The 16,270-nt window shown below is 39.7% G+C and overlaps 1 long non-coding RNA gene across 12 annotated transcripts in view; it reads left to right on the top strand.

Annotated features, from left to right (window-relative positions):
- LINC02715 (long intergenic non-protein coding RNA 2715) overlaps window positions 1-16,270 on the top strand; it is an 82,249-nt gene that overhangs the window by 34,673 nt on the left and 31,306 nt on the right. For 7 of the 12 annotated variants that reach the window (NR_187370.1, NR_187375.1, NR_187371.1 and 4 more), the window contains one exon: window positions 8,165-8,219. The exons of 4 other annotated variants lie outside the window; for them this stretch is intronic. This is a non-coding gene — a long non-coding RNA (long intergenic non-protein coding RNA 2715). Of the gene's footprint in view, window positions 1-1,487; window positions 1,582-8,164; window positions 8,220-16,270 lie in introns of all 12 variants that reach the window. One more of the 12 variants, NR_187374.1, reaches the window with a different exon arrangement.

Below are 16,270 nucleotides of genomic sequence, written 5' to 3'. Positions count from 1 at the left end.
TAAGAGGCTGACACAGATACCTTGACAATGGCACAGCCTGGGCTCCCCTCAGACAGGCTGCCTTGGAACCATTCACAGAGCCATCTCTGAAGTTGGCATGAACAGCAGCAGCATTTGAGGCAGGGAAGTCTGAGTGATGGGGATGGCAGCGACAAGAGCTTTACTTAGCTACGAGACTGCAGGCTTTGAGGTACTAACAACAAAAGCCCAGAGAACAAGAAAAATGAAAATGGATGATTCCAGAGAGGACAATGAGGCTCTGTCAGGTATTTTCTCCAATGATTTTAAGTGGAATTATGCAAGTGAGATTGGAACTGTTTTACAGAAGGCAAAAAATAAGAATTTTGCAGCCATTCCACTATATGCTTAGAAAGAAAAGGAATGTCATACAATCACCTCCATCTATATAAAAAAAGTTAATATTTCTTCTGTCACAAAATGCCATGGGAAACAAATTTTTTAAACCTCATGTAACAAATTGTAAACACAACCATAATTCTTGACATTTTGGGCAGTTAATATCTTGTTATTTGTATATGAGCATTAACATTATTTATTGCTAAACTCATCTTGTGAACTCTGTCAAGGAGTTAGTGAAAGTAGTATTCTCTGATGAGGTCTACACTGCACATGTGAAATATTACTCCAGTTCTTTTCTTTCCTTCTCCCTCACTTTTGTCAGGTGCTCTCATTTCTATAGTGCCCAGTGCTCCATAGGGGTGTTGAAGTTCCTCTATCAACAAAGAAAACAATGTTCTTTGTTGTCCTATATTGATTCACGCTACTGTTTCACTGACTTCATGCTTCCCATCTCCAGGAGCTTTTGCATTTGAAAATAGAATGCTATTTGTAGGAACAATGCCTAGACTATAGGAATGGGCCTTGAATCATGAAATTTAAGGCATAACGGCACGTTTCTAGAGAGATATTTAAAGGCAGAAGTCTCTAGTTACATCGCTTGGGTGATTACTTACTCTGTTACAATTCAGGCATCTTGGACTATATACATAACATCTTTTTTTCCATTAACTTTATTGTTCTTATGAGATGGGTTTGAGGCTAACTTAGGCCGATTTCATAAATCTCAGCTGGTGGCTGACCAAGAAGTGCACCTTATAGATGTATCCCCTAATGAAAGAGATCTGGTATGATTTGTCTGCAAATATGACTTTATGACCTTCCTTTATTGGCTTCCATTTTCCTGACCATCAGCTTTTGCAGATGATTTTGCAGGCTGTTTTAATCACTTCAGGTAAGCTGTGAGCACTGAGCAACACGTTGCCATCAAAGCCTCCGCAAAAATAGCTACAGGATTCTGTGGCCCACAGAGAGAAGAGTGAGGGAAGTCTGACTCAATTTATCTGAAAAATAACTTTTCTAATACACAAAATTGCTATAATTCTACTCACACTAGGAACCAGAGGCAAAAATTAATGACAAGTCACCTTTCAGCTTTTATTTCTATTTGCATGTGCCTGAACATTCAGAATCACATAACAATTGTTTTGAGCTGAAGACAGCAGAAGAACATAAGGATACCCTGTACTTCTCAGGAGGATAGGAACATCAGATTTGGAATGGGTAGGTCACAGGAATTTCTCCAGATGAATTAGTCCTGGGGGTGGGTGGGCAAGATGGATGTAGGAGAGTTGAAATTGCCTTGGGGGAATAAGCTTTCCCTCTGAGCTGGTCCCCGACAGCCATGTAAAGCAAAACTAGATTCTTAGTCACTCTGTGCCTTAGTTATTTCATCTTAAAAGAGGACTTTCTGTTAAGATTAATAAAGTTGAAAGAGATGCACTGTGTGGGTGTGAAGGGTCAGCATGCTGGGACAGCAGACTCAAGATGACATCTGCCATCTTTGCTATCTTTGCCTACAAGTCCTCTTCATTATTTTCCAGTTTCTGTCCTTTTCAGTCAAATTTAGATCCAGAGTGGTCTTTAAAATAGAATGGGCATAACTCCGTGTTCTTTGAAAACAGACATTCTCAAATATCTTTTGATGTTTAATAAATGTCAAATATTTGTAATGTACTGTTATTTAAAAAGTTAGTTTTCTGAGGTGACTCAGAGTTGATATGTTTTTCTTTCTGTACAGAGACATCTACTCGGCTATATAATGGCACCCTAGAAAGATGCTGAATGGTGAATAATTTAATAATTGTACAAAAAGAATTTTGCTTTTCAACATAGCACATAAAAATGGAATAACTTTTTGGTTAGAATAAACCTTATAGTCAATTTTTTCCCATTTTTTTCTTACACTTTCAAAGGTCAGAAAGAGAAGAGAAAATCTTTTGATACATGTGTGAAAACTAGAATTATATTAAGAAGAGTCCTAATTAATTACATATATCTGACCCCAGTGTACTCCACAGAAGAAAGGTGGTGGCTGTGCCTAGAGTTGATGAGCTCTAAATTTTATTCACAGCTATTATTGTAATTGGTGGCTCTGCCATTATCAGGTGTTAACATTAGAGTGATACCTGGTAAAAATTGCTGTAATTGCTGGTAAGAACCAATTGAAGGTGTTTTACAAAGAGAAGTAGTATGAGTTAAACCTGAAGAATACAGTATAGCCTTATGAGTATTATATAATTCTGTATTTAGAATATATATGTCAATGAATCTGAAAGATTGTAAGATTTGGTTTTCTCACCCTCTCCAAAAGCAACTTGGAGTATGAGAAAAGCTTAGAATTTATTCTAGTGGATCTAGTCTTAAATCGTAGCACTGTGATTTACTCACTGCACAAACTAGAACAGAATAGGTTTGTCATTTATAACTTTTGGGAGAACCTGAGCTTATTCTATTCTCCTTATCTTTCAGAGTTATCATAATGTTCAAAAAAGATAACGTGATATCCATTGTAAATTGCAAAGGACTTTGAGAATAATAGATTCTATACGCCAATGGTACAAGCATAAGGAAATAGGTTTTTGGTGAAAATGGGAAAAATAAGAAAGTAGGAACAATGAAATGGAGTTTCAAGTGACCACTATGTAACAGCTGTTTAAGAATTTTTTGGTACATTTAATTCTCCCGACAATATGAATAGTGATATACAATCTCTCAATTTCCAAATGAGAAATCCAAAAGTCAGGGAGTTTAAGTAACTTACTTAGGTCACACAGCTAGGAAGCACTAGAGCCAGTGTTTCTTTTAAATGATCTCATCTGTCTTTCCAGTTCTGTTTTTCCCCTTTCGATTACAGCTTCATGATTGAGAGGCTGATATGCACGTTTATTTACACACTTTTTAATTCAATAAACATTCCATCAACATGAATAAGTCATTGTTTTTGGCTCTGTTGAGGAGACAGAAATGAATAAAACACAATCATCTTGCTTACGGAGTTACAATCCAATGTGCACAGTTAATTTTTGGCTGTCCTTGCTGATAGCCATTTGTAAGTGTATTCTCAGACGTAAGATGAAGTTCTTTCATTTGCTGCAGTTTCTAGTGAGGAACCAGGGTTTTTTCTAGTTATGAGCCAAGGAGAAATTTCGTTGTCTGTGGTTAAAAACAAAAAATGAATCACTATACTCTCCTTGTTTGGTAACGAATATTAAGAATATAAACAGAGTTAAGAGTGCTAGATTTGGGGTCAGAAAGATCTGTGTTCAAGTCCTAGCCATATGTAACAATTGTATAAGCTTGGAAAGTTATGTCTTTTCTCCAGACTTCAACTTCCTCATCTGTAAAATGTACTTCTAACTGTAAAATAGGAATAAAAATATACTCCCTCCCCCAGCAGTTGTTAAGATGTTTAAATGAATGAGTGTGTGCGTGTGTATGTGCACATGGTGCATAATGTATGTTAAGCACTTAGCACAATGCCTGTTTGGCAAGCAGTCCTCAAATGATAGCAATTATTATAATTATTTTGTCTTTGAGGACCTGGGATTTCAGGAGACACAAATCATTATTCTGAATGTCAGTTTTGATTACAAAGGACAGCAGATGCAGATAGCCTGTTTAGTACATTGGGCTGAATCTAGGAATATTTTAGGTACCTATATTGGATTTTTTGTTAACTTTTGTTAAACTGATTATTCCAGTCTAAGTTCATGTTTTATTACTTTTAAACAATATTTCTGATAGCAGTATTTGTGTTGTTCTTGTAAGACGGTACAGCAGAAAGAAAATTCTAGCTAATTAAGGGTTTGAATTACTTAACTTCTGGAAAATTAAACTTTATTGCCTTTGCCCTTAAAATGCTTTCATTTTTCCCCTTTAATTATAATTGCTTACATTCATTAAATGTTTACTATGCATCAGACACTGTTCTAAGTGATGATTTTCATGAATTAATGTATTCTTCTAAAATCCAACGTGTGAGTAGTGCCACTATTGAGCATCTACTTGGTGTGGGCCTGCTGACACCCAGAGTACCTAAACCACAGAGAACAATAAATGCTAAAGGAGGCTATTACTTTAGAAGACCTGTAGGTGGGCCCGTTTTACAGATGAGAACACTGAGGCACATAAACATTAACTAACTTGTCCAAGCACGTAAGTCATAAAGCTAAGGTATGAACACAAGCAGCCTGACTCTGAAACCTGTGCTCCTGACACCTCTAACATATGTCTCCCACAACACTGACTAATTCCATATATTTTTAATGGACAGTATTAGCATCAGAATTTATCTTAGTGAGGAAACAAATCAGATGCAGTGACTGGTGAGCCCTACTGGACTTCTGACAAACCAAACCTTTCCTCAGTGCATAGAGCAGGAAGATAAGTGGACTGGAATTAGGAGGTGTAAGCTCTGGCTTGGGGCCTGATACCAGTTTGCTGTGTGATCTATAAAAGTAGCTCTCTAATCCTTATTTTCCCCATCCATGGTGCTGTTTAAGTCTGCACAGGTAACATCAGGCAGATTTCCATTTATTAGCTCTACTTGTGGTTAAGACAATTATTATAGATGGCCACTGATCAAACTGTTTATCCTTCTCCCAAGAAAGTGACCCTAAGGTGAATTTTAATTGTTGTTTGCTGTTTGTTTTTTCCTTAATAGCCTGGCCCAGATTAATCTGGGCCTTAGAAAGCAGAGTTGGCCCTTAGAAAGTAGAGTTGCATCCTGACAGGATGTGACATAGAGCATGTAAGTTTTGACTGTGCTAGAATGAAAGCGGGCAGCACACAGATGTTGGCAGCTCACAGTGCTGCCTGGGGAGGGAGGCTGCAGGGGATGGCAGGTGGCTGTGTGTGAGAAACAAGGGCCCAGGAGGTGGGGAGGGGAAGCCCTGCAGCGACCTTCTACCCCTGCTTCTTCTGGGAAGAACATCCCCTTTCTATGGGGCTTTTCTTTCTCCAAAAACCAATTATTTGGGAGACAACGTGTCACTCAAGTTTGCCAAGCAGAATCCTTCCTTGGGATTTTTAATAAAATTGTGACAAATGGAGGAGGGGCAGCCCTCTCTTGTGGTGAGAAGTGAAACACAGGAATGGTCAGCAAGCTCTGTCCTCCAAGTGGTGGAGGAAGCTGGTATGATCTGCAGAAAGAAGCATATCCTAGTAATATTTGAGTATCTGGCTCCATTTGTTTCAGAGACCAAGCTCACAGCTCTATTTGTGTTGTTGTTATTTAATGTAATCATTTCCCTGGACTCTCTATGCCAAAAAACAAAATAAAACAAGCAAACAAACTCCTTTTGTCTAAACTAAGCTGAGTTGGATTTCTATAATTTGGGAAAAAAAGCCTTGATTAATAGAAATAACAAGAAATGTTCGATTGCTAATAATTGAATTCAAATCAATTAGACTCTAAACTCAGAATCCACAAACTACCTGAAGAAGGATGTAAAATTTCATTGGTTGTTGCGTTTCTCTGTTGTAAAGATGCATGGCTTTCATCAGATTCTCAAAGGGGGGTGTGAACCAAAAAAGGATAAGAACAATTACACCAGGGAGCTTGCGGGCAGGGCTGAGATCATTTCTGTAGGAGTTCAATAAACAGTCATTGAATGAATTCAAAACACATCAAGGAAGCTCCTGCTGAGCTTCAGATATAGCACTAGATTCAGGAAGGATGCAAAGATGGATGGTACGGCCTCAAGCAGAGTGCATCTTGTGGGTGAGAGACACAGCTAAAATAAAACAGAGTGAAGTAATTTTTACAACAGAGGCAAGCAGTGTGAGACCCTGTGGGAAGCAGGGGCTGATGGCTGATTTTTGTTAGGGGATCAGAAAGGCTGAGCAAAGTGGCTTTCATGTGTGGTGCATGAGACTTCAAAGGCTGGGCATGACACCACCCACCTCTATAGCATAGTGGTGGGGAACTCCAAGTCTGTCTTCAGCCAATTGGGTTCAAATTTTCCTAAGCCCACCTATTAGCTGTGGGACCCTGGACCTGGCATTGCTGAGCCTTAAAATATTTTCCCGTTTAAACTGAAATAATAATAGTATCTGCCTCATTGGGTAGAAGGCTGGTCACAAAGTTGGTGTAAAGTAAGGACACAATAAATGGTAGCCATTGTTGTTGTAGCCATTGGTGGCAGTGATGGTTATTCAATGAGTGTAGATGATGAAACAGAGATTCCAGGCAGAGAGGGCAGTGAGCACGAAGGCAGAGAGGCAGGGGACTGTCTTTATGACTGAAAGCAGCAAATGTGGTTTGGTTAGAGCCTAGCACATCAGTGAGATGACTTTGGAGAGGTAGAGTACCGTGAAGGCCAATCTCAGGAGTTTGGTAGGCAGTGGGCGGCCATCACATATCATACGCAGAGGAATGGCATGATTGGAGCTGGGCTTTAGGCAGAAAACTGGCTGTAGTGTAGAGAAGAACCGCCAAGGGGAGAAATGGTGGTCAGCACGGCAGAGTAAGGGAATGTTAGCTCAGTGGTTAAGAGCTTAGGCTACGGAGTCAGACAGATCTGGTTTCAATTCTTGGCTCTGTTCCTTACTATTTAATTTTTATTTTGGAAATTCTAATTTTGGGAAAATTACTCAAATTCTCCAAGACTTATTCTTTAAAATTATTATAGTAATAACATGTATGGGATTGTTGTGAAGAATAAGTGTGATAATGGATGTTAAGAAGTTTGTATTTTTAATGGCACATAGCAAAACACTTGATTTTTAGCTATTATGATTATAATTTCGGAGAACAATGAGGAGGCTATTTTTTCCAAAGGCTGGATCTTTTCTGGAACCCAGGCCACCCTCATCTCAGACATGGTATATAAAGCTTGTCTGGTAAAAATTCACCAGGCAAAGGCACTCAGAACTCATAGGTTCTAGAAATAAGGCCCTAGCAGCTCTACCTCAGTTTCTGCCAGCATCTCTCCTCTGATAGGTCCTCTGAAGCAGTACCCTCACTTAGCATTTGTTGGTTTGTGTGTGTGTGTGTGTGTGTGTGTGTGTGTGGTTTATGTTACTCTGGGTATTGGGAGGCCCACACCAAATGGATGCTCAAGCTTGGATATAAATATGGCCCAGAAGTAGCCATCATCACATCAATGCTTATTTCCTGTTGAGCACATGGTCTGAGCAGCAATCAGTCCTCTTCATGAACAAAGGCTAAATACTGGGGCCTGTTGCTTAAAATGAGCAAAATCTCTGTGATAATTGTAACGTAATTCCAAAGCAGGGAAAAAAAAAGCATTTGAAATGGAAACTGAATTGTAAGCCAGAAAAATGAGAACTATTTCTTTTCCTTTTGGAAATTCAGACTCATAAGGGTTGATTCTCACTAAAATACTGAAGAAGAATTGGGAAGTTAAAAAAATTAATTTTTTTAAAAAGGAGTTATTTCAGAGCATGGGACAGATATATATAGGTAAAGCATTTATTTGATCATTTGTTCATTTTTATATATGGATCTGAGGAGAGCTTTCTTTCAGTTTCACCTTTCTTTCAATTTCATCTTTGAAATAATAAAAAAAAGGCTCCCTTCCCCACACAACACAATCTGCTCCCTTCAAATACTTTAGATATTAAAAAGATACAGGGTAACATCCCCAAAAGAAACAGCACACATGACAATTGGCCAATGCTTACTAATTCCTTTGCAATTTATATTGATGATGATGATTATAATAAACATTTATATGATTCTCACTATATTGTAGGCACTATTCTAAGAACTTTATTTCTATTAACTCATTTGACCCTAATAGCCTTATGGATTAGGTAATATTACTACTCTCTTTTGCAGATGAGGAAACTGAAGCGAAAGAATGTTGACTAATTTTGTCAAGGTCACACAACTGGTAAGCTATGAAATTAGGATTCAAACCCAAGCAACCTGACTCATGTATATCTTTAACTACAGTTCTATGATGAAAATATACATTTGTATTCTTGAGGTTTTATGTTGCTAGCATGTTAGCTTATCACCTAAGATTAATGATTGACTCTATAATACTTTCATTAAAATTTTACAAGATATAAAGACAAGCCGGCTGCCAAATAATTACCTAAGTACATGTCATAAAGAACCCGTGGCACTTTATCACAATGATGCATGCCATCTTAGTGTTCCTGGGCTTTCAAGTTTTTTTAACTTCTAGGTGATTTCTTTCTTTCTTCATGGTTCCTCCAATTTCTTTCTTCTATGTCTTTTCTCATCTATTCTTTTGTTCTCCTAGTCAACTTGTCTTCCTCTTGCCACACAGCACGAATTAACTTTCTTCCCCAAAAAGAAGTGACAAATTTGCATTTTACTTTAGGAATCACTCTTCTAGGGGTGTGTGTCACATGTAGTAACAATATTTAAACCATGTCTGTTATTTTTTGCCACAGTGTGGATATACAAATTAGTGAACCCATTAATGGAAATTTTCTTAAGTTGCAAAAAAAAAAAAAAAAAAAAAAGGGTTGGGGGAAGCTTTGCATTGTCTTTAAGTCTTGATCTCTTATCAATTCTCTTTCCATTGAAAAGAAGTAGCCAGATGTATTAGTTTGCTAGGGGTGCATAACAAAGTACTACAGACTGGGTGGCTTAAACAATAGAAGTTACGTTTTTGTTTTTTTTTTTTTGAGACTGAGTCTCGCTCTGTCGGCTAGGCTGGAGTGCAGTGGCGCGATCTCGGCTCACTGCAACCTCCGCCTCCTGGGCTCAAGCAATTCTCCTAGAAATTAATGTTTTTTCAGTTTCGGAGGCTAGAAGTCCAAGATCAAAGTGTCATCGGCATTGGTTCCTTCCAAAGGCCATGAAGGAAGGACCTGTTCCAGGTTTCTCTCCTTGGCTTTTAGATGGCTATCTCCTCCCTGCTGCCTTCACTTTGTCTTCCCTGTGCATGTGGTTATGTCCAAATTTCTTCTTCTTATAAGGACACCAGTCATATAAAATTAGGGCCCCACCTTAGGGTCTCATTTTAATTGAATTACCTCAATAAAGATCCTATCTTCAAATACACATGTATGGTCACACTCTGAAGTGCTGGAGGTCAGGACTTCAGTACAGGAATCTCCTGAGTTCCTAACACCATACAAAATAAACATTTTCCATTGATTAATTTACTCTTATCCTAAAAATTATAATTTTTATGGTGGTGTTTTTCTTCTACTGTCAAAGTATGCGGAAAAAAATGATTGGAAGTACAGGCTATGCTGTGCTCCTGGAAACCACAGCTTCGCAAGAGTGCCCTCAGGGAGCTCTCCTCCCTCCTACCCCAATGAACACTATGAAAACTGGGGATCACACATCAGACAGAATATTTTCAGTACTGACCTTTTCCTCCACATTCTCCAACTGGTGTAAGGTTCAGCTGGATTTGACATTTTCTGTGTCTTCCCTTACTTTCCAATATCTTGTGCTTTCTGATATTTTGGATTATAGCAATATCAAAGTCTTTTTGCTGAACATCTTTTCCCTCATTTGCAAAACTGTGATAGTAATGCCTTCTCACAGAATTGTTGAAGGGTTACATGATATTAACTGTGAGAAGGTCTTAAATATATATAGATTTTTCTCCCTGCTGAAGTTGTGAGATCCTAGGGAACCAGGAATGCCTTAGATTCCCAGTAGATGAAAGTTTAAAATAATTGTTTGCTTGAAAAATTAGCTGAGTCTATGAGAGAGTGTTTCATACTTTTTCTTTTTTTTTTTTGCTTGAGACAGAGTCTTACTCTGTTGCCTAGGCTGGAGTGTAGCAGCGTGATCTCAGCTCACTGCAACCTCTGTCTCCCAGGTTCAAGCAATTGTCCTGCCTCAGCCTCCCAAGTAGCTGGGATTACAGGTGTGCACCACCACACCCGGCTAATTTTGTATTTTTAGTAGAGGAGGGGTTTCATGATGTTGGCCAGGCTGGTCTCAAACCCCTGACCTCAAGTGATCCGCCCACCTCGGCCTCTCAAAGTGCTGGAATTACGGGCATGAGCCACTGTACCCAGCTGAGAGAGTGTTTTATACTTTCTTGTGAATTATAGAACAATCTAGTTAAGCAAGATGCAAGATCCCAGAAGGAATATAAATCTGGGTACAGGCTGAAGGTCTGACTTCAGAAGGGGATGGTGGTAATGGTAATGATAGGATTACCAGACATAGAGTTGAGTCTTTCAGGAAAATGTGTCTCCAGAAGAGCTAGAAAAGAGTAGTTATGGGCTGAATCGTGTCTCCCTCAAAATTCATGTGTTGAAGTCCTAACCCCAGTACCTCAGAATGTGACCTCATTTGGAAATAGGATCATTGCAGATGTAATTAGTTAAGATGAGGCCATACTGGACTAGGGTAAGCTCCCAATGCAGTAGGTCTGGTATCTTCATATAAAGTAGAAATTCAGACACAGAGACACACATACAAGGAGAACACCATGTAAGCCTGAAGGCAGAGACTGGGGTGACATATCTACAAGCCAAGGAACCCCAAAGATTGCTAGCAAACCACCAGAAGCTATCAGAGAGGCCTGGACCAGCATCTTCCTCACAGTCTTTAGAAGGAACCTTCCTTGCTGACACCTTGATCCTGGACTTTGAGTTTCCAGAAATGTAAGACAATGATTTTCTGTTGTTGGAGCTACTCAGTTGGTCCTACTTTGTTACAGCAGCTCTAGGAAACTAACATAATAGGGCTGGCAGTAATGAGGGTGAACTGGAGGGTGTACGAGTTGAGGTTCGCTCATTCTAAGAATCAGTGTTTTGGAGTAAGAGATGGAAAGGCAAAGATATCTGAAAAGAATTTGAAGATGGGAAGCTGGTGGGCTGATGCATGAGGCAGATCTTGAGGACTTTAGCCCTGAAGGATGGCAGAGTCAAGATTGTTTAGCAGGGATAAGAAGCAACTGCTGTATAAACTTTTTTGGCAAGATCTCTTACTGAGCTTTGGAAGGTTGGGGTGAGAGTGGATAACAGACCTGACATGAGATGTTTGTTTGCCCATTATGAACAACTGAGACTGTGATGGGAACTGAAAAGATATGTCAATGAAGCTAAGTGAAATTTTATATTATGGCAACAAGCAGCCCCCAAATTAGTGGCTTATAAAAATATAGGTTTATTTTGGGTTCAGGCCATATGTCCAATGTGGCTTGTCAGGGGCAGGAGGATGATGGATTATCCATTTTATTTATTTATTTATTTATTTATTTAGATGGATTTTCGCTCTTGTTGCCCAGGCTGGAGTGCAGTGGTGTAATTTTGGCTCACCGCAACCTCTGCCTTCCGAGTTTAAGTGATTCTCCTGTCTCAGCCTCCTAGGTAGCTGGGATTACATTCATGTGCCACCACGCCTGGCTAATTTTTTTGTATTTCTAGTAGAGACGGGGTTTCACTATGGTCAGGCTGGTCTCGAACTCCTGACCTCAGGTGATCCACCCGCCTCGGCCTCCCAAAGTGCTGGGATTACAGGTGTGAGCCGCCATGACCGGCCCAGATTATCCATTTTAAAAGGTGTTCCATGGTCACCACAGCAGAGGGCATGACACATAGCAAATAACATATTAGCTCCTAAGGCATCTACCTGGAAGTGGCATGTGTCACTTCCACTCACATTTCATGGATCAAAAGAAGACTTTGAGAGAGTGCAATCCTAACAGATCCCCAGGAAGCAGAAAACCAGGATCATCTGGTGAACAGCACTAACAGTTGCGCGGGATCTGAAGGACTACACAGTCCAGATATTTGTTTATGTCTGGAATACACAATCCAGATATATGCATCAGGAAACTAGAATCCAAAGATGGCAATTTTGCCAACCAAGCCACAGCTGTTAAGGAGCAGAACCAGAAACCCTGATGCACTCTCTGCTGTATCCGGCTGTCTCCTTCACAAGAGTTCCATCAAACCAAACACACTGGTTTGGAACACATTGCTTATACAAAGGGCCTTACTATTCTCTAAAGTGTACACGCAACACATGCAGTCATTCTTGGTTGTAAAGCAAAGAGACTTATCTACATAAATGTGTCAATGTGGTCTACAATTTAACAGCCATCTATTAATAATTCAGTAATGCCCCCACTCTCTTTAATTAAGAAGGGCTATTTAGGGGTATTTAAAAAGCTTTAGATCTACTACATTTTTATCATGTTTGTCTACATTGCTTCTAGGACTGCTACAGGCCCACTGCATTTTTGAATTAATGAAGATAATCAGCATAAAGCTAACTAGAGAAGTTTAAGCCAATATTCAAAAATAAATTTGTTCAATAGGTCTCTGTGTAGCATGGAGTTAACTTGGGGGTACTTGATCCCTGCACATTGCAAAAAATAGGCTGGCCATTAACCAGTCCCTGAAAGATAACCTGTAAGCCCTTGAATATCCTGCCTAATAAGAGTGTCTTTGTCTACCTGAGATCTTGGTCCACATAATAGTGTGTTTATGTTATCAGTGTGATTTATGATGAATGCCTTTATGTTTATAACAATAGTTTATGTTAACAATGTGATTTATCATGAATGCTGGAGTTTGTTTCCCTGGGTTCCTGAGTGATATGGTTTGGCTCTGTGTCCCCACCAAAATCTCATGTTGAATTGTAACCCTGAGTGTTGGACGTGGGGCCTGGTGGGAGGTGATTGGATCATGAGGGTGGTTTCTATTGGTTTAGCACTATCCGTTGAGTGTTGCCTCGTGATAGAGTTGATAGAGTTCTCATGAGATCTGGTCGTTTGAAAGTATGTATCACCTTCCCCTTTGCTCACTCTCTCTCTCTTCCTGCTGCTCCGGCCATGTAGGATGTGCTGGCCTCTCCTTCACTTTCTGCCATGATTGTAAGTTTCCTGAAGCCTTCTCAGCCATGCTTCCTGTACAGCCTGCAGAACCATGAGCTAATTAAACCTCTTTTCTTTATAAATTACCCAGTCTCAGGTAGTCCTTTATGGCAGTGTGAGAACGGACTAATACACTGAGCCAGGCTGACCTCTGGGGGTGCTGGAGACTGAGTTGTTAAGGTCAGACTGTGGGAACTCCATACCTATGTGACTGGTTCCAAATAAAAACCCCCACCACCAAGGCGTAGGTGAGCTTCCCCAGCTAGCAATATTTTGTATGTGTTCTTACACACCATTTCTGAAAGAATTAAGTGCTATCTGATGACTCCACTAGAAGCCACCTGGAAACTCATGTCTTGCTTCTCCTGGAATCTGTCCTATGTGTCTTTTGCCTTTGCTGATTTTTGTCTGTATTATTTCACTGCAATAAACCATAAACATGAGTATAACAGTTTTTCTGAGTTCTGTGAGTCTTTATAACAAATCATTCAACCTGAGGGTGGTCTTAGGCCAAGCCAGGATGGCCTAGGATTTGACAGAGAATGTTCAGATACGTATTAATTTTTACATAGATAAACAGTCAGTATGCATAGTTTACTAGTAATATAGCTGAAGGTTATTTGGAAGTTAATGTCCACTCTAGGAAAGAATAACAGCATATCTGCAAAATATTGGCCTAAAATAGTACTTTTAACCCGAGGTAATTGATATGGTTAGGCTTTGTGTCCCCACCTAAATCTCATCTTTAATTATAATTCCCACAATCCCCACGTGTCAAGGGAGAGACCAGGTGGAGGTAATTGATTCTTGGGGGTGGTTTCCCTTATGCTGTTCTTGTGATAATGAGTGAGTTCTCATGAGATCTGATGGCTTTATAAGGGGCTTCTCCCTCTTTACTCAGCATTTTTCCTTCCTGCTGCCTTGTGAAGAAGGTGCTTTGCTTTCCCTTTGCCTTCCGTCATGATTGTAAGTTTGCTGAGGCCTCCCCAGCCATGCTGACCTGTGAGTCAAACCTCTTTCCTTTATAAATTACCCAGTCTCGGGCAGTTCTTTATAGCAATATGAAAATGAACCAACACAGTAATTATTTGCTTATTTGATAAACCACTGCCTTGTCTGTTCAATAAAAATAAGTTAATGGAGACTTGTTCTAGGTTACAAAGCAGTAGACTTGTGAAATACAAATAAACCAGGTTTGTGAAAAAGTGCAAATGTAAATTTTGAATTGAAGAAAGAAACAAAAATGACTTTTACGAATTTATTTAAATGCACTTTATTGTTGGCTTAGACATTTCCCTCCTTTACTGGAGAATGTCTCAAGTGCCAGTTTGTATATAGACAGGCTTACTTGCAGAGAATAATTTTGCTATTTGAAACTTGAACTATTTGTTCATATTAAATAAGGTAATGTTAAATTGAATTGCTATCTGTAAAGTGTTATATAAAAGCATTACTAGTCATTCTCATGGGCAGTGAAGCATGGTGGACAGCTTTTTATGCATCATAATTTTTCTATCCTAAGCATATCTTTTTGGAATAGAGGTGTTGTACCCTGGGGTTTGACTGGATGTGGTCTGGTTGACAAGAGCAGGTTGGAGCAGACAGGAAGGGTCGAGGTTGCAAAAATATCTGTTGAAGAAGGTGGGAAGCCACAGAAGTAGGGGAAATAACAGGAAATATTGTGGCAAATAGAACACATAATCGTTGGGCATGGCAACTGAGTAATGGGTATCTGGAAATACGTAGACTATGGGAACAGGAAGTATAGGAACATGCAGCATGACAGAGTTTACGTAGAGTCACACAGACATGGATTTGAATTCCTGCTTTATCAAGGGTATATGGTTTGTGGGTAAATAAGTTTCTAAGCCTTAATTTTCTTAAATATAAAATACAATAATGGAAACTACTTGAAGGAATTATCGCTTAGACAAATTTCAACATATGTGAGGCATTAACATAGTGCCTAGAAAAATAGTGCTTATTAGCTATTAGTTTATATATAAATTTAGGATTGCTGGGGGAGTGGTGGTTCTTCTCAAATCAGAATCCATTGATTTCATCTTTGTGGAGAGGGATGCTTCTGGGCTTAGGAACCAGTGAGATCCTCAGAGGGAGAAGGAGGAAGGGAGCTCATCCACACCTGTCTGCTACCACTTCCACCTGTTACCATTTGAAGGATGATTGCATATATTCCTGGGTGAAAGAGACACATTTGCTTTTTATCTTGCTGCAGTTGGAGGTAAGTCATCTCTCAGTAGCTGCCAACACCTCACTATTGCCCTATAGGTGAGTTTGCCAGAAGGCGCTTCAAGACTTTGCTGAGCTCCATCCAAGCATCAGTTTCTTTCTTATTAGCCTGGTGTACTTTTATAGCACCTGGAGCACAGGTGGCAGTTGGGGGACAGTTCTTGATGCGCAGATAAGTGGAGATGGTGTGTAAGGCAAAGCCCCAGCATAGACATTTTAGTGGAATGCAACAGAGCTAAAACATACCCTGTTACATCATGTCAGAGGTAATGAGACATTTACAGCACTTGAAGTCCTCTTCCAATGTATTTGAACACTTCATTTGACTTGGAATGATCTTAATTATTCTTCACACTTGGTTAAAACAGACCCAACCATTTGCAGAAGACAATGGGCCATAAAATGTATTAAACAAGCCCAAGAAAGCATCACCAGGAAATACAAAGCATTTAGATTTGTTTTTTATTCTCAGAGGTTGGTAAGAGCAGCCCTTGTAACTAATGAAGGAGTTGACACTGAGTCAGTGTACCTCAGGCAGCTAAGTGGGTAGCTCCAAGGCCACACAGTTCATCGTTACCATGGGTGCACCTTACTATAGTAACAATGAACAGAAGAGATGGGGCCTCATGCTGAGGAAAAGAACTCAGAGAGGTGGAACAGATGGCCTGTTGTCTGTTTCTACTTTGGGCATGACAGATGAGCAATGGATCCAATTATATCACTGGAAGGGGAGAGCCATGTGAGACATTTGTGATCTGTAGGGCTGGCTGTGGAGCTATAGAGCAGCACCAGGTGCATTCAGGCAGTGCCTGCTCAGGAGTAGCTATGGTAACTGTAGACATGCTCCAAGAAGTCATAACCTG

The sequence above is a fragment of the Homo sapiens genome, chromosome 11, assembly GCF_000001405.40.
Source record: "Homo sapiens chromosome 11, GRCh38.p14 Primary Assembly".
Classification (NCBI taxonomy): Eukaryota; Metazoa; Chordata; class Mammalia; order Primates; family Hominidae; genus Homo; species Homo sapiens.
This window is presented reverse-complemented; position numbering and strand designations above follow the sequence as displayed.